General features: G+C 33.5%; 1 protein-coding gene and 1 long non-coding RNA gene across 2 annotated transcripts in view, besides 1 other annotated feature; one reads left to right on the top strand and one right to left on the bottom strand.

Annotated features, from left to right (window-relative positions):
• PTPRQ (protein tyrosine phosphatase receptor type Q) overlaps positions 1 to 26,559 on the bottom strand; it is a 236,039-nt gene that overhangs the window by 45,732 nt on the left and 163,748 nt on the right. The window contains exons 28-34 of the mRNA NM_001145026.2: positions 23,917 to 24,103; positions 20,706 to 20,950; positions 18,276 to 18,342; positions 15,000 to 15,158; positions 14,166 to 14,388; positions 12,408 to 12,481; positions 2,251 to 2,350 (exon numbers count right to left, since the gene is read on the bottom strand). Of these exons, the coding sequence (NP_001138498.1) occupies positions 2,251 to 2,350; positions 12,408 to 12,481; positions 14,166 to 14,388; positions 15,000 to 15,158; positions 18,276 to 18,342; positions 20,706 to 20,950; positions 23,917 to 24,103 (1,055 nt within the window). The remainder of the gene's footprint in view (positions 1 to 2,250; positions 2,351 to 12,407; positions 12,482 to 14,165; positions 14,389 to 14,999; positions 15,159 to 18,275; positions 18,343 to 20,705; positions 20,951 to 23,916; positions 24,104 to 26,559) is intronic.
• The window catches only part of LOC105369867 (uncharacterized), a 176,665-nt gene that overhangs the window by 72,697 nt on the left and 77,409 nt on the right, over positions 1 to 26,559 (top strand). The gene's annotated exons all lie outside the window — the stretch shown is intronic.
• Positions 1,301 to 1,863: an enhancer, noted in NCBI's record as "OCT4-NANOG hESC enhancer chr12:81026458-81027020 (GRCh37/hg19 assembly coordinates)". NCBI's record gives its function as "activates a minimal SCP1, AML or CMV promoter by ChIP-STARR-seq in naive H9 embryonic stem cells {active_cell/tissue: H9 hESC(naive)}" and the evidence as "EXISTENCE:reporter gene assay evidence [ECO:0000049][PMID:30033119]".

Below are 26,559 nucleotides of genomic sequence, written 5' to 3'. Positions count from 1 at the left end.
CAGATAATGCCCCATTGTGTTCACATATATGAAATATTTTTACATGCATGAAAATACTTAAAAATTATTTTCAAATTATCTTATTGAATTTTTATAAAAATATTGTGAGTAGATATTATCTTTACAATCAGAAAACTTAGGTTCAAAAATAAAAGCCACATGAATCTGAGAATCAAATCAGATTCTTTTCATCTTAAACCCTTTAAATGCTTATTTCTCCATGACACAGTATGGTATATTACAAAGTAATGTTTAGCTATTCTATCTTTCACATTTCAAATATTTAGTATTTATTAAGAGTTGGACATCAAGGATGATATGGAAAGTATAAAACATGTTCCCTACCCTCAAAGACATTACAATTTAGTTGAGAGGCAAGATTTCAATGCAGAAAAAACATGAAAAGAGAAAAAAAGATTCAAATTACAACACATAAGACAGTGCCTGATTAGTTACATAAATAGTTATTATTATTTAGAGGAGGTAAAGAAGTAGAATTTGACTTGGATGTCCCAGGATGAGAAGGAGGAGGAAGCACATTTCAGGGTGACTGAACAAAAGCAGAATGTATAAAAGCCCAAGGAATGTTCAGGTGAGAATAGATCTCTTTAGCTAGTGAGTAGGCAAGTTGTGGGGAATAAGGAGGACCATTTCCTACTCACACAAGGAGTTCATCTTGTAGAGAAATGAGAAGTCAGAAAAGATTTTAGAGCAGGGAAATTACATAAATGTGGCCAGTCCATACTCCTTAGGGAAAGGCCCATATTTTACACATTATAGCATTCAAAGTGCCTCGAATGATAACTCTCTCACTGTCTTCTGGCTAAATCTGCAAATAGTTATGTGGTATAGAGAAAATATCTTTTTCAAGAGCCTTTCAAATTATCTATTAAAATTATGCTTTAAGAGAGTCAAGATGAACCATAATGCATGGCATTTAGAATACAGAACTACATTCTTCAGTTGAAATAAAAATAGTCTATTGAACTATTTAGGAAATTGGTAGAAAGTTTACTTTACAAATGTAAGGTCCCTTTAACTCGGCAATCTGCCTTAAGAAGCTAGATTTTGAGGTCAGAAGTAAGATTTCCAACGAGGCCCTGTAAATAATAAGGGAAGTAGGATGCTGATGCTGAGAATGGAAAGATACACTTGGAAAATTCAGCACAGACATGTTCAGAAAGTAAGCATGAGAAGGGGGTCTACCATATAAGGAAGCTGGATATTTTACAAGTGTTGTTCTAACTATAAAAAAGATCTCTTTCTGTATAAACTTTAATATTTAGACCTGATTGAGATATTTTAAATTAAACCTATAAGAGTTACAAATTACTTTAAAAGATGTAGGTGGCCTGAAAGCTTCTGCTTTTGTGTTTTCACCTTGTTGTCTCTCATCTCCAAACCTCCTTTTTTTTGCTGTGCTCTTTGATATTGGAGCTGGAACCTGCATTTCTCCTTTGCCAGCCGGCCGAAAGTGAGGCTTTGTCAATAGAGGGCACTAGAGTGACCCTGAGAGGCAGTAGGAAGAGGAAAACACTGCCCTTGTGGGATCCAATCCTGCATTATTGTTATTCATTGTGAGAGCCCAGCAGCTCACTTGGATGAGCTCTTGTTGCCTCTGAAGTGAACGTTCTGCCCATGCCATTCGTGAACAGTCTCAAGTAGTACCAGCTCACCTACACCATTCAGCAAGAATGGGATGCTTCTATTACCAATTTCAGCCTGCCTACCATCTAATAATGACGGGTAGCTTCTACGGAACAGCTCCAACCCCTTCCCTCTGTCATATTTCTTTGCTCACTGTTTGGTGATAGGTTGCATGTGCTAGAAGTAGCGATTCCATGTAAGTCTTGGGAGACAACTTCTTTCAGTTCTTAGTTGTTTACTGTCCTCTCTCCTTCAAGTTAAAGAGAGTAGCTGCTTTGTTTTGCTTGCTACTTCTGGACTCTTAGATTTCTCTTTTACTCTCTTTAGTAGTTAGCCATTTCTGCTAGTTAACAATTCTTTACATTAAATGTTTTCTGTTCAAATGGCAGGATTTCTTTCCTTTTATGGCTAGATTTAGTCACTACACAACGCATATACACTTTAAAGTATCATATTGTACATGATAAATACATTTTTATCTGTCTATTAAAAATAAAAATGTTTCCCATTCAAGTAACTGTTGTGGCTTCTGTCTCCTGATTGGACTATGACTGATATAATGCCCATAAAGCATCCTGGAATGTAAGCGCAAATAAATCTTACCTTGCAAATGCAAAAATAGCTGTTCCAAGGAGAATTATTGAAAGGATACACAAAGTGACGGAAAGAATGATCTCTACGGTTCTTTCTGAAAGTCCTTCCCCTGGAGAAGAGGGATAACAGGATCATTAAATATTATTATGGAATCTTATTTTGAATCCCAAACTACCAAAAAATATTATCTTGGCATAAGAAAATATTCTTTGCTGAAGAATACTAGTAAAATGTAGCAGCTTGTTTGTTCCTCTTCTCCTAGATTTTTTAACTTTGGGGCTCAGTCCCGGGTCTTCTTGCTTTTTCTATCTAAACTCACTCCCAGTGTGAGCCCATCTAGCCTCACAGTTTTAATTTCATCTATATGATGATGACTACTTAGTTTTTATCCACCAGACTTCAGACTTATATATCTAACTGCCTACCAGACGTCTTTATTTTGAAGTATACTTAAAATGTTAAATTGATATGTCCAAAACTGAACATGTACACTTCCCTCCTTTCAACTGTATCCTCCCACCTCTCAGTTGATGGACACTCCATTACTGTAGTTGCTAAGGCCAAAACCCTGGAGTCATCTTTGACTCTCTTTCATAGAATACATCCAAAACATGTGAGGAAATCCTGTAGGCTCTATCTTCAACATATTTGTAATTTTCACCAAAGAAACTATGTAACTTTGGAAAGATGGTAATTGCAAAGTGGGAGGAAGGAACTAAACAAATTCAAGACATATAATGGTGCTAGAGATCTAGGAAGCTAACAAAAGGCTACTGGTATAAAAGGAACAAATGATCCTCCTGAAGGGGCTCCTACTGGCCAAAGAGGGAAGAATTCAAGCCTTATATTTAATAAAAATGGAAATTGATCAGAAATAAAAAATAAGATTATTTAATAAAAGAAATACAAATAACAAAAATACTGATTTTTTTTTAAACTTTTATCTTCAATTCGGAGGCCACATGTGAATGTTTGTTATATAAGATAAACTTGTGTCACAGGAGCTTTTTGCACAGATGATTTCATCAACCAGGTATCAAGCCCAGTACCCAATAGTTTAAAAAAAGTACTAATTTGTAAACTCTGGCTATAACTAGACCATCTCCTTGGCCTAAATATTCTTAATTAATTTATAATTGAAATGTATACTTTTCTGGGTTTCTTATCTGAACTACATTTTATGACTTTTTAAAAATAGCCCTAGTTAAGGAGATAAAGCTCATTATTAGAAGATAATTTTGCTGCATAAATGTTAAAGGAGTGACAAAATTAGAAATTAATAAACAGGGCTGGGCACGGTGGCTCATGCCTATAATCCCAGCACTTTGGGAAGCCGAGGCAGGCAGATCCCAAGGTTAGGAGTTCGAGACAACCTGGCCAACATGGTGAAACCCCGTCTCTACTAAAAATACAAAAATTAGCTGGGCGTGGTGGCAGGCGCCTGTAATCCCAGCTACTCGGTAGGCTGAGGCAGGAGAATAGCTTGAAATCGGAAGGTGGAGGTTGCAGTGAGCCGACATCGTGCCACTGCACTCCAGCCTGGGTAACAAGAGCAAAACACCAGCTCAAAATAAAAAAAAATTAATAATCAGTATTTCTAACGAAATAGTTGATTCAGGTAACAAACATAAATGTATTCTAAAATGATTAGGAGGAAAGTTAATGGGGAATTGGACATTTACAGGATGACAAAATATCGCTGTATAGATTATACGCTTGTTATAAGTGGTCAAAACCAACTTTCCAATGAAGGATCATGCTGTTGCTGCCACCAAGCCTACTGATCAATTTTAGCATCACGTGTAACAATCAGATATTCTACACTTCCTGATGGAAGGTATTTTGATCTAGTGAGCAAGACCTATAAAGTACTTCTGACAAAAATGTTGACTGCGAATACTCAAAGCTTTAGATCTTATTTCTAATTTATAAGAAAGTGGTGGAAAGAAAAAAAATTAAAGGACATCAAGAGAAAACCACCAGACAGATCCAAAATATGGGACTTCCTACGTGACAACCTATCTGATTGCTTCAGGGAGTCTATGACATAGGGGGGAAGGAAAGGAGAAAAGAAGGCTCTTTAAAAAAATAATAGAAGAAACAGAACAATCAAAGATAATGTGTAAATTCCTATTTGGATCCTGATTCAAATAAATTAACTTTAAAGAAAAAAATCAAAGACTGATTTGAAAACGTATATACAAGTAGCTTAAATAATATCAATAATTTATTGTTAAGTTTAATCACAGCAATATAATAAAAATGTACTTATTAGAGAAACATACTAAAGTATTTAGGAGTGGAATATGCGTTATGTGACTTACTTTACTTCAGAAATAAGTGAACAATGTCTAAATAAAACAAATGTGGCCAAATGTTAATTATTATTAAATTGAGTTAGTAGGTATTTGGGGGTTCATGACACCATTTTTTCTAGTTTTATGTATGTTCCATTCACTTTGCTCCACCTTTGCTGCTGATAATCTGATCTAGGCCACCATCCTGTCTTGCATGAATTAAAAACTTAGCAAGTCTGCCTGTATCCACCTTTGTCCTTGTTCCACCTATTTTCAACATACAAGCAAGGACAATCGTTTTAAAACATTATTTCTCTGCTTAAAATCCTCCTCATCTCCCACTGAGAAAAGCCCATATCCTTCCAGTGGCATGTGTGATCTGGTCCCTCATTAACTGTCTGGTCCCCTGTTACCCCTCTGATTTCCCTTCCAGTCCCCACCTTGCTTGCTCACTCCTAGGGAGCCAGATTAGCCTCCTTATTGATGAATAACACAAGGCCATTGTTGACACATGGCTTTTGCAGCAGCTTCTTCCTCTGCCTGCAAAGGTGTGTATGCCTTGTATATCTTTCTGGGTAGCCACTTCACTTCCTTTAAAGGTTTGCTGAAATACCTTCTCAATGATCATATATTATGGGCTGAATACATGTGTTTCCCCCAAATTAATATGTTGAAGCCCTAATCCCCAGTGTGGCTGTATTTGGAGTAAGAAAGGAATTACAGTTAAATGAGGCCATAGGGTGAGGCCCCGATCTGATGGGATTAGTGACTTATAAGAAGAGACACAGAGAGCTTGTTCTCCATCTCTCTCTCTCTCTTTCTCTCTCTCTGTGTGTGTGTGTGTGTGTGTGCCACTCACTCCTTTCTCCTCCTCCTCCCCCCACCATATTTTCTCTATCTCCATCCATGCACCAAGGAAAGGCCATGTAAGAACACTGCAAGAAGGCAACCATCTGTAAGCCAGAAAGAGAGCCCTCACCTGATACCAAATGGGCAGGAAACTTGATCCTAGATTTCTAGCCTTCTGGACTGTGAGGAAATAAACTTCTATTGTTTAACACACCCCATCTATGATATTTTGTGATGGCAGCCTGAGCAGACTAACACAGCACACTATTTAAAATTGAAAGACACAACTCCCTGCATTTTCTGCCTCCTCCTCCCCCTCCTTCTTCCCTCTGTTCTACTTTTTTCCTCCATAACTTTATCTTATTTTAACATATAAATCACTTATTTATTATTCTTACTATTTATTCTCTGTCCTTTCCTCCAGAATGTAAGCCCCCTTGAGTACAGGGGTTTTTGTTTTATACAAAACTATTCCACGGTCTGAGAGATGTACTGGGCACAGAGTAAATATTAAATAAATATTTGCTAAATTTACTAATGAACAAATATATTGATTTTGAAAAAGATTAAAAATGTTCGTGTTTGAAGATCAGGCATTGAACCAAATAAGAATATAAAAATTATTAAGCACAACTACTAATTATAATTGTAATCAATTTTAAGTTACATAATTTATAATTTTACTGCACAAAGTATTACAGTCAAGTGACAAAATAGGTTACCAATGTGTAAAATAGGCACGTATTAATGCTTCATCTTTTTGTCCTGTATTGGTACTTATGTAATGTTACCAATATAAAAGAGTTCCTGTGGCTATCCTGCATGGTGGATTTGAATAAATACTGAATTTAAAACAGTTATCAGCACTTCATGGTCTGCTAGAATCTCCTGCTAAATTTAAAAAATGAGAAAGCAGCATGTATCACCTAAAGTATTTTAGGTACATTTTTTTATACATTAAAATACGAACGGTTTGATTTATGAATTTTCACATGGTGACTCTAATTGGATATGCTTGGGAAAGGAGGCATGAAGATGAATAAAGAATCCTCTTTATTAGGTAATAATGAATCACTGGGCCTTAGAACTCAGTGGGAAAAAAATGTTCTCATAGACCACACAAAAAATTTTTTTTAGATTAGATTACCATTTCAAAGCACTGGCCAAATGAGGAAATGACATATAATATATTAATAAACAATATGTAATCCTTTGGGCACATGAATTACAAAAGTGTCACTAAGAGAGGACAAAATGTTCCCTGATTATCAAGTACACTTTCTGATTCACTGTTATGCATGGACCCACAGAGCATTAACAGTAGAGAATGATGTCACTTCTCCAAATCCTTTAATAGAAAATGGAATTCTTTTACTTAAAAATATAAACATGTTTCTTTTTGTAGTAGGTGCAAGTCATTTCTGACTAGACTTAAAATCCTGTGACAAATCACATTAAATTGGTCTGTTTACATAATAAATTGTACTACTATAATTTGGCAAATCATAATTCTAAAGCACTAATTTTTCATAAGTATTATCTTCTGACTGAAGTTATCATTATTTAAATTCAGCATATGTATCCAACTTTTTAAGTCTGTTTTTAAGCCTATTCTCTAAGGAGAAACTTGAATTCAATTAGATATAAAGCTCATAGTACAATGCCTGGCTCCTGATAAAGATGCATATAAAATGGAAAGTCTTTTCCTCCTTATTTCTCCCTCTCCTTCTTCTCCTCCTCCCCTTCCTCCTCCTCCTCCTCTTCCTCCTTCTTTATTATTATTATTATTATTATTATTATTATTATTATAAAAATTGAGTTCTTATAACAGGACTAAAGTATAGGGAGTTCATCTTCTCTTTTGGCCCAGTGCTAGTCACCTAGGGTATTCAAACACTGAGCAAATAATTTACTAAAAGTTACTCAATTCCATAAGTCAAGAAATAGAGTTAGATAGGAGGAATAAATGATAAGTGCTTGAGGTGATGGATTTGTTAATTAACTTGATTCAATAATTGCACATGGTATACATATATCATGGCATCACTCTGTTCCCCATAAATATATACGTGTATAATTTGTCAATATTCAATAAAATTTTAAACATATAGATTAAAACACCCCATTGGGATGAACATCATTTTCATCCATACAGACAGGAAAAAATTTAAAGGTAGCTAATAAAGTGTTTGCTAGGGTGTGAGAAAAGTCACATTATTCGGTGTTAAAAAAATAAAAAGAAACCATATCTCTAAACACAAAAGCAACACATGCTTATCTGTGAACACTAACCTCAAAAGCCAAGACAAAGTGTGAGAAAAGAGAGCTGCTAGAAATAATTAAAACTATCAAGAAGAGAAAATGGTACAGCAAAGATAGGTTGTGGGAGCAGAAACATCACCCATAGTAATGAACTGGGGGCTACTTGGGGACTTAGTGATTTGCAGGTAGTGTGTGCAGTGGTTACAAGTACAGCACTGACTGAGGTCACGCTGCCTGGGTCTGAAAGCAGGTTCTGCCACCACCTTTGGGATGGTTAAAAAGCTTGGTCAAGTTAGTAAAAAACACAATGCTTCAAACTTCTTACCTAGAAATTGGCGCTATGTAAATAGGAGGTGTTGTTACAGAGTTGCAGTGAAGATGCATGAGTTTATATGTAAAACCCCTTAAAGACTTGGTACATAAACAATGACAGGTATCTTTATTAACAAACATTTCATATTTATTCATCCATTTTATTCATCTGATTTAATCTCCTAGTTAGCTTCTAAAATGAGTATTAGTATTCTCATTTTAGAAATAAGATTTCAGAACTTAAAAATAATTTTTTAAGTAACTAACCCACAATCTCATAAATTCAATATATACCAAGCCTGCCTGAAATACGTCTGTCTTGACTACAGAGTATGTGAGGTTCACCACCACATTACCACTGTCTCGTTAACAAAATACAATCTTCCTCTGTTCCTCTGGTGACTTTAGGGAAGTAATCCTTTGGATGCAAAAGATACATAGCAACTCCCTATTTCTGAATCTAAGTGAGCACATTGGAACTTTTCATTGTTAGCATAGTAATTAAATGAGAAGTGTTATGACAAAAGAAAACAATCACAGAGTGCCTTTGCCATGGGGTTTAAGATTTCATCATGTTCAGCTTTAATGAGAGCCCTGTAAGGTACAGAAACGGGTGTCTGGTTTTCAAATCACAGGATCCCTCTATAATTAAACCTTGTAATCAAAACATTGCCTACAAGCACTTTCCATAAACTGATGTGCCTAGGGAAGATTTTTTCAAAAAGTTTAAGAGGGTTTTTTGTGAATTTTGATAATAAAAATGCCAATACTCAATCTTGAGTAAAAACGAAATCAAATAAGTTTCAAGTATTTATTTAGGATTAAAATAATGCATACGTTATCTTCCCTGTTTATCCCTACAGGCCAGAAAGGTTTCCCTAAATGCAAACTGCTCTTCCACAGACTCATACTTATCCATCCAGTGAAGTTCTACCTGGCCATCTCTCACTTGTACTTTCATTAGTCCCTTTCACTAAACTTAAACATTTTTAAGATTATCAGTCTATGGTGATTCTTTTGCCCCTAATTTTAAACTCCAAATAATAACGTCTCTGAGAGGCATAATTACCACTACAATGGTCTGTGGAAACAGAGTCGTGCAAAAGCTCTTAAATCCCAAAGTTTCAACAGACAGGCAACTCGGCTTAGTGCTCATTGCCTGTGGTGTGCAAAATACCAGTGAATGAATGCTTATCCCCTGGTGGGTGGATGACCTTGATGGGACCTAGACTTCTCTCTGTAGTCTGGGATTACATGCACACATATGTCTTCAGCAGCTTACCAGGAATGTTTGAGTCCCTAGCCTGCTGCAAATGATTCATATATCCCAACACATGACATATTTGAGAGAAAAAAAGGACTCAATCACCCTTTGTCATCTTCTGATGACACCAGGGGTATTATATGAATGCACTTTATTATTTGCCTGCCTTCATTCTCACAACCATGAAACCATTCTTGCCACTAACCATTGGAGAATTGATCAACTTTGTTTTCTTTTTGAGTTCTTCTAGAGTTTCTTCCCTGGCAATGTTCTTTTACTAAGAACTCTTTTGAATCTGTGGCGAGCTTGTCCAACTCGCAGCTCATGGGCTGCATGTGGCCCAGGACAACTTTGGACGTGGGCCAACAGAAATTTGTAAACTTTCTTAAAACATTAGGATATGGTTTTACAATTTTTTTTGGTTCATCGGCTATTGTTAGTGTTGATGTATTTTATATGTAGTCCAAGACAATTCTTCTTATTCCAATGTGGCCTAGAAAAGCCAATAGATTGGACACCCCTGATCTACAGCGTTCTATCAATGTCAAATGGACCAGGACCACTTCTAGGGGATGTTGTTTGTTTCTTGACCTATGAAAGTGACTCTAATCTCCATAGAACCACGACACTCAATAGTCTGGTAGAAAGCAAATATGACAACAGTAATTGATGGTGTTAAATCCATTAACCAGAGAAATGGCTGGGCTGCTTTGCTAGTCATTGAGGAATTCTGCTCCAGGGGTGCATTCTCATTTCACTACAACTAACGATTACAAACCAAGCAAGTTCCTTTGATTCCACTTGTCACTGTCTTACTCGCTATAAATGACTATCTAAATAGCAGAACTCCATGTGGTCAATCCAGAATAAGCACTGTAGGGCAAAGGCCAATTAACAAAGCTGCTGTATCTCAGGAGAGAGTCCCTGGAAGATCACTCTAAGGAGCAACCTAAAAGACTGTCATCATGTCACTGGTCTACAAAAAATACACTGAACTCTGAGTAATTTGATCATAGACACATAGGACCCTTCCTTGTCACTATCCCTCAGCAGCCCAGTGCCTTTCTATATATTGTGTCCAGTCTACATTTCACCAGTCCCTCCTTCCTTAGTCTTGGCAGGATCCTGTGCTCTGTCCTTCATTACACATCTTTTACTCACTGTAGACTCCTTCTGTTTCCAGAGCACACAAAGATTCATACCTAGATGATTGGGGTGGCAGTGGTTATACTTCCAAAGAAGGAATCAAAAACCTGACTGTGTATTTCTGCTACATTCCAGGATTAATGGTTGTATTCCACCACCTTGACTGTGAGTGGAAAGAAGAAAGAGAAGACCATTGCTGAGGAGCTCTTTGAGATTACTTATAGTGCTGGATGAGGCCATCATTGGGCAGAGAGAAGCCATTTAGCAGAATCTAAGGAATCATGCTCCTGTGCACTGTGGTTCCTGATGCTTGGCGCTCCCCCCCTTTTATAGCTTTTCTTTCTCATTTCCATTACCCTGAATGTCTCAACTTTGCCTCTCAGATAACTGACGGAACATGTTGCCTTCCCATGAATAATCTGTATGAAACCAGTAAGTTGATGAAAGACAACATCATACAATACAGCAAGGCTAGCTCCTTTCAGCACTGCTCCTATAAAATATTATCTCCTAAGACACATGGGTTATCTATCTTGTCTAGGTCTTTTACCTTCCATTGGCAAATGCACCAGGATCACTACTTAGCTGAAGTAATGGCTTATGAATGCTGTAACCTATAGGAAATTATGCTGATGACAAGAAGACATTTATTTTACTGTGGTGGCATCAGAGTGTGATAGACTCACCTATCAAATGAAGAAACACTTGATACAATTTCAAAACCACAAAACTAATCAGCTAGCTTTAAAATGATGAAATTATTGGGTAAAATTAATCAAACCAATGATTTGTATAAAATTAAACAAACATTTTAGCCAAAGAAATTTGTTATTTCTCTACAAACATCTATGTAGCAAACTACATGCCCCCTCTATTTCTTCAAGATGCAAAGTTTCCTTGACTACATGTAGAGGCTGTGGAGGCTGGCTTTTTATACAATTAGTATTTCCATAACCCAATGAGAATTTCTGGCTAAAAATGGTGGGACAATCCGTCTTTCTCCAGTCATAACTCTCACTGAAGTCTATTAGCAGTTCAAGATACACTGAGCAACAGCTCGCCAGGATCTGGGCAACACATGAAGTCTTACATTTTCAAGTGGTGCCCCAGAAATACCCTGTTCATGCAATTCTTTAAGACGAATAAACTGGGGCTTTTGAGGGCCTGGCACAAACAATGTAGAATGTTGTGATCCTCTCAGTGAAATTCTAGAGAAATAATTTCTCCTAAATAAAAATGTTTCTAAAATATTTTATTATAACCTATCCAAAAAAGCTATTAAACTTTAAAAATTTACTAACTATAAAATATTAATATATTTATATATGTTGTTTTACACAAAACTTCAACAACCCCTCAAGGATGATACTCTTATCAATATTTTCCCAACAAAGGAAACTCAGATTTATAGAAATTAAATTATTTTCTCAAGTGACAGAGCCAAGATTTGAACCCAGGTCTAAATCCCATATTTGTAATGTAATGTTATGAAATCCTGTTCTGTAATGTTGGAATCCTGGCCTAGCCACTTAAATACTGAAAGAATCTGGGTGTTGGTTTCCTCATCTGTAAAATGGAGTCAACATTAGGGCTTAAGTCAGAGTTTCTCATCCTCAGGACCACTGACATTACGGGCTGTTTTGTGCATTGTGGAAATTTAGCAGCATTCCTAATCTTTGCCCACTAGATGCCAGTAGCATGCACCACCACCACTACCATCCTGTTATGGCAGCCAAAAATGGCTCCAGACTTTGCCAAATATCCCCTGGGGTATAAAATCCCTCTGAGAAGCACTGACCTAACTTAAAGGATAGTTAAGATGAGATGACAGATGTTTGTGTAACAAACCTTCACAGGTACTCCTAAACCTAAAAGAAAAAATTTTAAAAACCCACAAATATTACTAGAGAGGCTAATTAACATTTAAATGAGTTTATATTTTAAAACATCTAGACATGGATTAATACATTTACTAATAAATGTTCCAACTTTGATAAATATGTTGAGATTATAAATGAATTACAAAAATGTCTTACCTAAAGTCTTAACAGGGTCAGAATAATCAGAGTCAGTAAATTGTCCCATAATATTTGTAGCTCTAAATTTAAATCTATAAAATAAAAAAAGAAAAATCAACACTTTGCATATCATGTGATTTTTCCTATGAATAACTCAAGAAGTAATTATAAAAACTATTTATTTAATTCAAAAGAAAATGAATTTACAAGATGAAAATTTGGAATGGAATCATCATCAGGAGAAATATATGCTATATTTATATGAGACAAATAATTATCTCGTACTTTGACCCATTGAATTTGATGAGGCAGGGGCTAAAAATTTGGTAAACTCGTGAGCAGTTAGCAGTTTGAACAACTGAATCAGCTCACCTCCTTCAAGGATTTGTTTAGATGGAATGATTTGATATCTGTGAAGGGTGTTACACTAACATAATTTATAAATAAAAGGCATAACTGTTATACCTCAATCACTTTTGCAAATGCTAGTGAATTAGATTAAAATGATGATATAGAACTTGTCTTGTTCACATATAAACACATTAAGAAAATGTTTGTTATTTCTGTGTGTGCACAGTTGCATTTGTATACTTTTTTGCTTCCATAGCATTTGAAGTAAAGGATACAGAAGAAGATCAAGCTTAAAAATTACAAAAAGAATCTAAGATCCTCAGAGACAATTGAAATTTACTTAATTTAAAAATAAAGGCACAAGGGCATTTAAAAACATAAAACCAATACGTTGCAATACATGATTGAACCTCTACCATTATAAAATTCTTATGATTTTATTTGTTATATGAAGAGTCTGTTTCAGGAACAAATATGCAAAATAAATAAACTATAAATATGAATAAACATGATACTTGGTAGTATATCATTTTTATAACTATCATATGTGTATAGCTATTCAGGCAATAACCTAGAATTTGAACCAAAGTAATTGCATTTAATAGAGATGATAAAGCATTATTTTTATTTGCCTAATTTCTCTAATTTTTCCAATGTTAACTTGGCTTAGGATATTTGTAAAGAATTTGATAATGTTTTAACTAACAGGCACAAATGAAAGCACCTGCATTTAAAAAATTACTAGTAAAAATTATATTTTGAAAATCACACAAGGATAAGATGATTCTTTTAAAAATTGTAGTCTTACAATACAAAAATAACATAATCAATTCAAAAGGAAGATAATCAATTTAGCAAATAATTTAATACAGCCAAAATATCAAATTGATTTTAAAATGTTGGGTTTTTAGGGGCTACAAAAAGCTAAATATTAAAGGTGGTATTAAATATTTCTATCACTCATTCATGAGATAAAAAGCAGAGAGTTATTGTTATGAGTGACATAAAGGGAAGCCACTGTTAAATCAAAGGATAGGATAGTGTTTCAAAAATCCTGTACATCAGCATGGATGGTAAAATAATAAGTGAAAAACACATTAGTCACATTGTCCTCTACAGAAAGAATTAAATTCTCCTATATACCTATGTTCTCCAATAGCACATTTTTCATATGGTCTTTATGTAACTTATATCAAATCATAATTACTCTTAGGGTTGCCTGCTTCCCCTATAATACTGTATGTTTATGGAATGTAAGAATAATTTTCAGTTTATCTTTCTATTCCTAGTGCCAGAAAAATCAGGTCACTATACGTGGCGGACATCCAGTGCTTATTGGAAAGATGAAAGGACAGGCAGATGGATGGATGAAAGATACTAACTAGCTTGCTAACAGAATGCATGGTAGATATAACCTATACTTACAAGTATTGCTTTTTTGGTTTCAGTGGTCCATTGCAAATTTTGTCTTCATTGCCAGGAATCATGCATGCATTATCAGCACCTATGATGTAGATTTCTTCATTGCCACTAAACTTTGTCTTTCCTTCTGTACATGGAGGGTTAGGAAAGCCTTCATTTGTAAAATATGGCCTTGCTTTATTAAAATATGCATCATACCACTTTGTTACATTTCCATCATGCTGAGCTGTTTTCAGAAACAAAGAGAACAATAATTCCAAGTAACATATGAATATATTTTTACAATTATAAATAGTGTTTTTATAATTGTATAAGGGGACTCTCGATGCAACATCAGTCACCAGAGATAATTCAAGTGATCCACCTGTATAGGCAGGTAACCCTGTTCTTCTCTGTTACATGTGAATCTACAGGAACTGTTATAAAGGATGATTTATCAGGTAGAGAAAGAGCATCCCTCAATCAAGAGTAACTCACTTGTTCACCCCTCCAAAGAAGCTATCAAGATTCCATCTTACCAAAATCAAAACATGTTTATCTACTAGTATATGGAATTAATAAATCACATATTTTAACTGTGCCTTTCTTGATAGGTAAAAAAGAATAAATAATTGGTATAAATAAATGACATTTATAAAAGTTTTACAAATAAAATAAATAAATAATTTATTTATTTACAAAGAAATGATTGGTATCATTAATAATAATATTGACAATCTATTAATCTCAAGAGGTGTGTGATAACTGGGAGTCAATCTTAATTTGAACTAAATTCTTTTTAGCACTCAGTAATCTACACTCCACAATTTAACAAGATAAATTGACATGTGATGATACCTCCTGTTTCTGTCACAAGCACTTGTACATTTTTTATTGGTCCATGATCATCACTGTAGTAACATATTGGCATTCTGATTGTAATTGTTGTTGAAGTCACAAGCAGTTTTCCTGTGGCATCATAAATAGGGGTTGGTTTGGTTTTTGGTCGTGCTGGAGCTATAAACAAAGAAGAAATATCACTGCAATTGATGTTATTGTTTCATCAACAAAAGAAAAAATCTTTCTCCTTTCATGCAGTTAATTTACAGATAAAGTGATGACAAACATAAATAACAAATTATAGAGAATTGTGCTTGGAGACAGCAGACATTTAGCAATTATTATCTCCTGAAAGCATAATTATACATTTGAGACTTCCCTGAGATAATAGAGCCCAGGTGTGATTTTCAGGCACCTGACTCCTCTTTGCATATTAAAAATTCAATTTATACATGCTCTCACTCATATATATTTTTTATAAATGCATAAACATATTTACTTTTTACTATAATTTTAGTGTAGTTTCTTTTGCTTCTTTTAGCTGGTTTACTAATTTCTGTTCTAGTCATACTAGCACCCCTCCCACAGTTAATCCATGCTAAACATCTAGATGATAGCATCCCATATTTTTTTCCATGTTCACATAATCATATAAAAATACATAAATAGTCATGCACAACACACTCTTCTCACTGTTTGCTTTTTCTAATGGGGCTCTAGTATGTATTATAATTACCCCTCATATTGCTTTTTTTGCTTAAATATAACTTGGTTAAATGTTTCCAAGTGACCAGGTACAGAGCTAACTCATTCTTCTTAATGACTATATTATATATCATGGTGCAGCTGCATCATATTTATTCAACCGTTCATCTGGTGATGGGAATTCACTTTTCCTCCAGTTTTTAAACATGTTTTACAATAATTAGCTTTGTTTTACAATGAGCTTTATTTACTGATCTTTTTGTCTCTATGAAATAGATTCCTAAGAGCAGAATTTCTAGAACAAAAGATATATGTACTTTTAACCTTAACAGATTAACAGAATAACTTCTAGAAGAGCCATGATAATTCATAATTTGTCATCAATGCATACAAATATCTCCAAAATATATGTATAGAAGCTCTGCTTGTTTCATTTGGTCTTATAGCTCACTGTGTGTGTGTGTGTGTGTGTGTGTGTGTGTGTGTGTGTGTGTGAATGTAGTGCTTGAGCATCAGTAAGTTACTTAACCAAATTTCAATTTCCATATTTTTAAGAATCTTTTTTAAAAAGCTTCTCAATAATCCCACAGGATTATCAACATTGTTTTTATTTTGTAGATAGGGAAAAGAGCTTATGTCATACAGTTATCAAAGATAACTATCAACATTTGAATCACATTTTTTTGACTCGGTTCTGTAGTTCACTCTTTTTTGAGCATCAGATTCAAATGCAAATTTCTTACTCAATGTATCAGTTTGGGTACTAAGAGAAATAAAGGCTAAAATGAGACTGGATGTGTAAGAGGTTTTTTGGGGGAATTATCTGTGAAGAATTAAGGGACAGAGGGAAGGAGTAAGTGCCACAGATCACAGGTATGACACCTGTAAAAGGGAAGATGAAAGGCAGGATTCAGTAGGAAGAGGCTCAGGTTTCAGGTAGTTCTGAGATTCTCAGCCAGGCCACTTGGGAGTCCCCAGGAAAAGATTTCCAGTTAGAGGAATCCAGCATTGGACATTACTATCCAACTTCATAATATCTGTCAAATGCAAATTTCATGAGACTACTACCAATTGAATATTCCACATCATTAATAAAATAATGTGTATTAGTAGAGAAAACATAATTTCTCTAGGATCCCACCACTAAGACATTGTTCATATATCTTCTCTAGACTAGAAGTCGTAAGTCTGCCTGCCTTAGGTAAGGAGTAAAAGTCAAGATTAACCAACCTGGCATGGGGATGGGAATAGCATCTGAAATGGGAAGTTTTACTAAAGCATAAAAGTGATGCATGTATTGCTATCTGTACACCTACACGTCTGCCACTGAATAACAAAGATAAATTTAAAAGGTATGACTCATACTATTCTTTGTGAAGTCATTTTGTGAAATAATTGATGTTTTTAAAGACCTTATGCATTTGTACTTCCCAAAGTAAATAATTTATCAATTTAAATCAAACACTTATAAAGAGTATCACAATTATATAAATAATCCATTGACAAAAAGATAAAATTTATCAGTTTCATCTAACAGTGAATATTTTTTATTCTTAATAGTACATGTTTCCAGGCAGGGGTCTTAAGGGTTTTTTCAGATTCTCTTTTAATCCTCAAAGTTAGTAACTTTGAGATAGGAACCAGTATTATCTCCATTTTTCAGGCCTATAGAGGTTAAGAAACTTTCTCAAAGTCAAATAGATATCAAGTGGCTAATCCATGATTCAATCCAGCAGTTTGACCCTAAACCCAGCCTAATGCTGTCACCTTTAATCACTGTGCTCTGCTGTATTTGCCAAAGACTGAAAAAAGTTACTTTTTGCTTTAGAAAGAGACATATCAGGTAGAATTCTACTAAAAGTCCATCCACTTCTGTTTTTAAAACCTCTCTGAAGGTTTTATTACACATTTTTAGAGAGATGGCATAATTATTACCTGCTGGTTTTCACTCTCAAGAAGAGAGGGCACCGTGATCATTCGAATGGCCCTAAATTCCTCTTAATCATCTTTTTTGGGTTTCATGGTTTGTTTGTTTGTTTTATTTTGAAAGGATGACCCAAATTTTAGTTATATTTTCTATAAAAAATACTTGCCAGAATCATGAATTGATAGATTTACTTTACTGTCAGAATCATAAACCAACCTACATGGTAGTTCAAAAAACACTATTTAATTAACTGAAAGAATCTCACTTCCAAAATAAAAATCAGTCAAACAATCTAATAATCTAATTAGACCTAGTCAAAGTCTAATGATAGGCAATTTAAACACACTTTCTTTTCGATAACATTTAAAGAAACATCAAATAACGGACTATAAAATTTGTCTTTAAAAATTTAAACTTAGAAATATAAAATATATTAAAGAAATATAAAATAAAGACATTCTCCTTATTTAACATGGTAATTCACATCATCATTTAAACGTTTTTAACTATAGCTTTAATAACCACACATTTTTACTTAGTATGTGCTTAATATATGCATATTTATCACTTAAAGGCTTGTCTACATCCTTATTTCAAGTATGGAATTTAAATTATAATCACTGATTAATAGCATTTCATAGGAAGGTAGCTCATGTATGTACCTTTGATATCCATGGTTATTCTCATCGGAACCTTTGGACCTGCACCAGCACTATTGACTGCGTAAACCTAAAACAAACAAATATTTGTTACTATTTTCAAGTGATTGCTTATGTATGTGTGTGTATATATATATATATGCATGTATCTATATATGTATGTATATATATAGTTATATATATATATATAAAACTGATTATGGTTACATGTAATTTTAAATAATTCTTTAAAAAACAACTGCATATAGTCTATTAATTGTATTTTCTTGCACTTGAATATAATATATGTAGGAAGAACATTAACAATGAAGTATTTCTAAAAATTGATGTTCTGGTACTAAACGCTGAGAACAAAGGCTGAGTGATCTAAACAGCCCTATCACTGAGACCTGGACTGACCATGATTTTAATGTGAATGTAGGAAGAACAGAGCACTACAGCCACTGTATCTACGCTCTCCCTTCATCTACTCTAACATCTGTTCCTTCTCTCTGTAGCTAGGTAACTCTGGCCTTCTGTAAATCCATATTCAAGATCCTCTTTTTTTCCCTCTCTAAGATGAAATCCTATTCCTTCAGCCTCCCAGTTTTCCTGTATTAAATCATTCCCCTGAAAGATGGCCTTTATGCCCTTCTTCACCCCTGCCCCAAAGTATCTGACGCTATAACCTGCATAATGCAGCATATACACATAAAACATTTCTGTTTGTATACACAGAGGGTGATTTACACAAACGTGAATCCTTTCAATTAACTTTGTGCTAAGGAAGCTGTAGACAGAGAATCTTCTTTTCTTCACTTTATCTTGCTATATTAAACAGAGACTATATTCTTGGCTTATTTCATTGTACTCGATAAACCCAATTCAGTATACGAAATGTTTATTGGAATTACTTAATTTGTTTTATATATTAGTGGCCCACCCTCCCACACTCTAGATACTTTTAAAATGTTTTTATTGAGTTAATATTACAATATACATGTGGTAGATATGATAAATAAACCAAGACCATAAAATGTGGCTTGAAAATGCCTAGAGAAAATATTTGAGTTTGTAAATTCAAAAAAAAAGTATTAAAAATAAAAAACGTATGTTATAGTATGGTCCATTATTTTTATTTCTTTATGGTAGAATCTAACATTTAAGTGAAATAATAAGTGAAAATTTGGGCACTGCCTCTGAAATTGCAGTGTGCAAAGAAGTCATTCGCACACCTTGTTAAATGCAAATATGCAGATTTTGATTCAGTAGGTCAATACAGGTGCTAAAGTTATACATCCTAACAAACTTCAAGGTTTTAAGGATACTGCAAATTGCAGTCTGCAAACAGGATTTTTAAAAATTATTAATTAGTTGCACATTTTTGGTTCCTATTTTCTCTCTTCCAATAGCCAAAATATATGTACCATTCACTACCTACCATAACTATGAATATTTAATCCTCACAAATATCCTATAAAGAAGTTATTATTCCTATTACCAATTTTTCACATAAGAAAACTGGGCTCAGATTTGATAAAGCTGCCCTGGCACAGACGCCAGTATTTGAACCCAGGTTACTTTATTCTCTTAGTCACCGTCTTCCCTCTAATCGATCTTTCACAATGGTGGTCCACTTAATGGGACATGCAAAAAGAATCCCCAAAAGATTTATTTTATAAAGATATAAAGTCAAAGTGACTGAGAGAAGTAGTAAATATATTCATTTTATACACATATACATATACAAATTATTATCAATGACCTGATAATTACATTGATATTAATCAAGAGTTGGTAGGCAGATTACTAAACTACTTGAAGATTTAGAGTAAATTCTGTTTCTTAGAAGATGATTTCTCTGAACCATATAATTTTATTTGAAAATTTCAAGATGATCTAAAAGTAGGCAAGGAATAAAACAAATTGTGTCTGTATATGTCTCTGTGTATGTATATGAACTCATGCATACATTTCTGTCCAAATATAGGGAATTTAGAATTAAGACATAAAATGCTATTAGCTTTTAGTAATACTTGGTTAAAATGCATGAGAATTTTAAACAGGTAAACAATTATTTCTGTCTTTTGTCCTTAAAATTTGCTTTTCCATTTTAAATTCATAATCATATAGCTTTTTTTTAGGCAGAGTTATCTCTTTATATATCACTGTTCTTTTACTTTTAATGTGCATTTTCTTTCTCTTTTATGTCTGAGTTTCTACTATTATTGTGCAAACTTCTTGGTTATTTACATATTTTAATTTAATAGTACTTGTATTATAGCAGAAAATAGGTAATTTCAGTTCTCAAAATTTATTTTTGTTGAGATGTCAAACAATCTCACAAAAAGATATGGGAAATGTCATGTGTACACAAACTGCAATATTTTTAAATGCCAAGTTCATAAACTGACATTGTCATTTGGGTAATTAACTGAAGCTACGGATTCTTACACTGATATTGTATGTATGTCCACCTTTTAGTCCTTCTAGCATTGCAATGACGAATGTGTTGGTTTTCTGTATAATACTGAGGTTGTGAATCTGGACAGCAGTAGGATCATCTTCTCGGTAAACCAGAGCTTGATATACTTGGATATTTCCATTAGGTTGAGAAGGAGGAAGGAACGTTAATTGAAATTTTGTAACTTCATCTGGTATCTTCTGAAATGTCATGTTGTTAGGTGGGTCCTTTGGGGCTAAAATAAAATATTTAACAATTAATTTTTAAAAATATTGTATTCCTTTTTATCTCCACATAAATTTATTTGCTTTGAACTTCTGTTTTTAAAGAGTATTCCACAAATTAAACCATATAAACTGCAAAAACTAGCAAAATGACTGACGCATTATAGAATCATTGACATCTGTAATTCACAGCAACCATAATGGTGATCCAGTTTGTTTGTTTTATATGCACTTATTTTTACACAGAATGTGTTTCTATGACATTTTAATCTTTTGTTTGTTTTCGAGACAGGGTCTCCCTTTGTCACCCTGACTGGAGTGCAATGGCATGACAATTTAGAGTCAAAAGAAGTGGCAAAAACAGGACATACCATTTAACTTTCTCCCAGTTTTCCCCATTGGTAATATCTTATGTAACTGGAGTTTATATGAAACCAGGAAACTGATATTGGTACAATACTGTTAATGCTACAGACTTTATCCCAATTTCACCCCTTTCCATGTTTTGTTATACTTTTATGCAATTTTGTCTTCTGTATAGATTCCTTTAACCACCACCGTAAACAAGATATAAAACTATTACATCACCCTAAAGAAACTCTCTCCTAGTATCCTCTTTTATTTGCAGTATATGCTTCTTCACAACACTAATAACTCTTCCTCTGTATAGTTTTGTCATTTTGAAAATGACAATAGCACAATGGCCTTGAGGTCCATCAAGGTGGATACTACATGTATTAATAGTACATTCTTCTTTTTATTGCCGAGTAGTGTTCCATTTTGTGGATGTAGCAGAGTTTGTTTAATCATGGAAAAACATTTGGGTTGTTTCCAGTTTTCATTATTACTAATAAAACTGCAATCAATCTTGGTGACAGATGTTTGTGTGAGCATAATTTTTCAATTCTCTGTGATCAGTGCCCAAGAGTGTGACTACTGGGTCACACAGTAATTTCATGTTTAGTTTTATAAGTGGCTGCAAAATTATTTTCCATTGTGGCTATTCCATTTTACATTCCTACTAGCAATGTATGAGAGGTCCAGTCTTTCTGCATCCCTTGCCAGCATTGGGTATCATCGCCATATTTTAAATTATTACCTTATCTGTTCTAGTACATAGACAATAATACCTTATTGTGGCTTTAATTTGCATTTTCCGAATGGCTAATGGTATTGAAAACTTATGTTGTCATTTTTTGTTTGTTTGTTTGTTTTACCAACAATGTCTCCTTTGTGGTGAAATGTCTGTTCATGTCTTCTGCCAATTTTCTAATTGGATTTTTTTAAATTGCTGGGTTTTAAGAGTTCTTTATATAGTATAAATATTTTAGTTTATTTTAGATAAATAACAGCTTAACATATGACAAGCTAAGCACCAATACATTATTAAAATATGTATGAGGATAAAAGTTATTTTATGAATAAAGGAGCTACTTCTTGATGCATAACATAATTAGTGTTCTTTATATAAGTGACTGATTGAATGACTATATCTATTTTGTTCAACTTGAAATAGTTATATCCTTCCATACTAAGTAAAGAATTTCCATGAAGAAATGTAATATTTGGCTGTCAACAGTTCAGATATTCAAGCTTCATTATCTTGCAAAAAATGTAAATAAATTAACAGCAAAGAATAAAAGAGAGAGAAGCAGATAAACGTACTATTGTGTCAAATATTTCATTTTAAATGGAAAAATGCAAAGCTAAAATAAAGGTTAAGTTGGTTCAAGAGAGATATTTTTGCATTTGTTACTACACGTTTTTATGCTGTGTCATAAATATATTTTCTTATGAGATGTTTCTCTAAATTTAGGATGTGATTTTAAGTCAGATAAACCAAGGAATTCTCTCAATGTTGTAAAAAATTTCCTAGTACCCAGATTTTTGGTTATACACATAAAATTCTACTCTTAGAGATTTAGTAAAAATGTATTAAATTGTGATATCCTTGAAACAGATAGCACATTAAGATTTGACAAACAATGCTTTATGGTATAAATGTGAGTACATTCATCATATCTTTCCTCACAGGTAGGAGGGATTGAGAAGTAAAAAGCATAATCAGAAAATAGATACCTGTGATACTTGGCAGACGAATAGGAACAAATGGAATTTTAGGATGCTGATAATAAAATTTACCTTTTAATTTAGAACCATAACTTTACAGACAAAATGCATAGAGAATATAATGTAACGAAAAAAACTAGCTGTAAAAAAATTTTACTTCCTATACTTACCTTACAGATAGCAACAAATAAACTATAGCAACATATCCCTTCATCTGCTTTTTCCAATGATATATCTGGTGGCAAAGAACATCAGGAGTCTGAAGGAGGATGGGGCAAGCAAGTTCTGGGATGTTGATTTCCAAATTTATTTCTTATTGGTTACAATCTTATTATTCATTCAGACCCTGTTCATAAGAACTTGAGGAAATCTGTATGTATTCTGACATTTATCAAAGAGTTATATAATAAGACATATATTACTTGACTAAGGGAAGACAACAGCTGTGATAAATGTGAGCTGGATTCTACTTTCGAATTCCAGATTATTTAATACTCACAGAGTATTACAAGTTTAATATTCATTCAAATAATGGGACAGAAATAATTGAAATAGAATTTTAGTTGAAGTGTTATTGGATATAGACAGTTGGAAATATTATCTCTTAGGCAAGCTTACTTAATTTCTGAAACAACTAGCAGATTAAATAAGTGCAAAGAAATACAGCGGATACCTTTAATTGTTGCTGTATTTACAAGGATTGAATATTCTACATAACTCCTCTTTACCTCAAAAATATAAATAGAAATCTTCCTTTTTGTCAGTTGCAGAGAGTCACTAATTTTTTTGTTTATATGCTTTAAAAACTTCTCATAACACATATCCTTTTTTGGTGGAGTATGATGAACTGTAAGAAAGCCAGCTAAATCTCAGTCAATTTTTAGCAAGGTTGAGAAATTCTCCTTACCTGATTCTAAAGTAGTAACAATCATTTCAGCACTTGACTTCCCTTCTACATATGCAGCACTAATGTTCCCAGTAAATGCAGTGATCACTACAGAATACCTTGTGAATATTTCTAAATCTTTAATTTCTATGGTTTTATTTTCTTCATTTGACTTGATGAAGGATATATTAAATTCATCATTATCTACCTATAGGAAAATATAAGTAAAAATTAAGGAAGCAGCACTTGAAATCTGAGTCACCAAAACATAATAATACAAAGCTACGTGAGATGTATTTATCTAGCCAAATTTGTATTTATTTATTTTACAATCAGATTGCTCTGGGAAATCTAAAGTGCTATTATAACAGCTTACTAATTATTAATTATTTTAATAGTTGAAAGTAAAAGAAAAAAGACAAACCAGCCAACCGTGATTAACCAACCCATTAAATAAATAAGCAAAAATCATCTTTGCAGTCAATGAAACTCTACTTTTGACTCCAATATTTTGTAGAAGAAAGCATAGAGGTTTTGGTACCTAATCACACAGGCCTCAAATCCCAAATTGGCCACTTATAGCTCCTGTAGTATTTGAGAAACCACCTACACAGTCTAGTCTTTCAATGCATGTAAAATTGGGCTAATAACAACTATTTACAGTGTTTCACTGAGATTTAGAAAGGACAAATCTAAAGTAGTTGGCACATAGATTTCAATATTTTTTCACCATTACCCACAAAAGGAAACACTCTTTGTAACATAATTCAGAAGATAAGACTGATAGATATAAAATATATACGTATCTTATGACTGTAACACATTTTTCAGAAATACACCATCTTTCTGAAGTACACTTTGATATTTTCTGCTCTTTTTAACTTTATTCCACCTCATTTAAAAATTCTGATGATGGCTGCAGTTTGAAAAACTCTGATTTAGTACTATGTGTAGCACTGGATAGTAATTAATTGTGGATGTCATAATTATTAATGTGCATAAATGAGTGTCTTTAGGCATATGAAATGTAGCTATATGATTTGTTCAAACATAGTCTGTCCTTTATGGAGGTTCTGGCCTATTCACTCCAGATATTAAACATAACTAAACTTGCTAGCACTAAGTAGAAGGGCTTTTCCCAAGATAACCATGAGAAAATTCAAAATCCTATCATACATACTACTTTCAGGTATCTTAATTGAAACACTTAAAACCAGGTTTTATACACAGTGAACACTATTAAGTCCATTTTCAACTTGACCTTCCCTTATAACTTTGAAATATTTTTTGTTTGGTTGGTTGGTTCAATGTATTCTTTTAATGCTCTTTGCTAAGAACATATTTTATTGATAATATGGCGAAACACACATTGATTTGCATATGGTATAACTATATTGTAAATGTTGTCCTGGAAACTCATTTATAGAGATGTTTGCTGAGGTAATGTAAATAAAATTAACTCAATTTTTTTTTAAAAAAAAGATGTTGCTATAAAAAAAGAAAAAAAAGAAACATAGTAAAAGGATGATATAAATAATACTATCGTTGCATACAGTCAAATAGATCATTCCCACCTTAAGACAGAGCAGTGGACAGAAATGCCCCACTTCTCGAAAATGGAAGAAAAACAAATCAGCGTAGAAATCCTATTGATCAGGAATATATGCCACTGGCAGAAAATGTGTATTTAACTAGTTGTTAACATTTGAATATCACATAAAAATATGCTTTTTGTAATTTTCCTTAAGACTAGGCTTAATTTCATGCTGAAAAAATATTATTGAGAGGTGCAGAGATGGGTAACTATTGACCTCTGTAAAGGGGCCTGGGTCCCATTCATTGGAGCCCCACTCAATTGGCTTCACTTTGACTACTGGTTCATGTCACTTGTCTTTTATAGCTATTTGAATTCTGATTTTATAGAGGTAAGGTGACTTCCTCAGGGTTACTTAGTAGCAGAGGAAGGATTTGAGCCCAGGTCTTTCAAGAGTCCATAGAATTCTACACTTCCACAAGGTCACTGGGTTTGATCTTATAAATTTAACTATTTATAATTTATAAATTATAAATTTATAATTTATAAGTATAATTTATAAATTATACTCTTCCAATGCCTTCCATTAAAACAATAGATAACAAATATCAAGTCGCAAAATATGACATGGCACGCATATATTATATCTTTAAAAGTATTTAACAAAATTTGAAAGGAATTCTCGGTCCTCAAATTTGGCAGTACAAAAGATCATCATTACCTTTCTTTATTAAACCTACTACACCTTTGTTGTTGTTAGCTATTACTTGTCCACTTACCCAGGACTGAAATCACATCTTTCTGACTCATTTTCCTTCAATCAATTCCAAGTTTGTTTGCTCATATTGTACTTGATAATCTATTGTTATAAAATGTCTTTCATCATTTTTGAAGTGTTACTTTATATTCATTATCAGCAATTAGACTCTGGTTCTCCTCTTCCTGCCCCACTTCCTATTTTTTTTCTCTTCCTACCCCGCCTCCACCCTTTCCCATCTTGTGTACCCCTATTCATTCGTCAAGTCCTAGAATATATTTAACCTGCTCTATGAAGTCTCCTTTATCTTCTATTCCTCCCATAACAGGAACTTTAATTATTTTGTTACCTTATATTCCCCACAAAACTTCAT

The sequence above is a fragment of the Homo sapiens genome, chromosome 12, assembly GCF_000001405.40.
Source record: "Homo sapiens chromosome 12, GRCh38.p14 Primary Assembly".
In the NCBI taxonomy this organism is placed as follows: Eukaryota; Metazoa; Chordata; class Mammalia; order Primates; family Hominidae; genus Homo; species Homo sapiens.
This window is presented reverse-complemented; position numbering and strand designations above follow the sequence as displayed.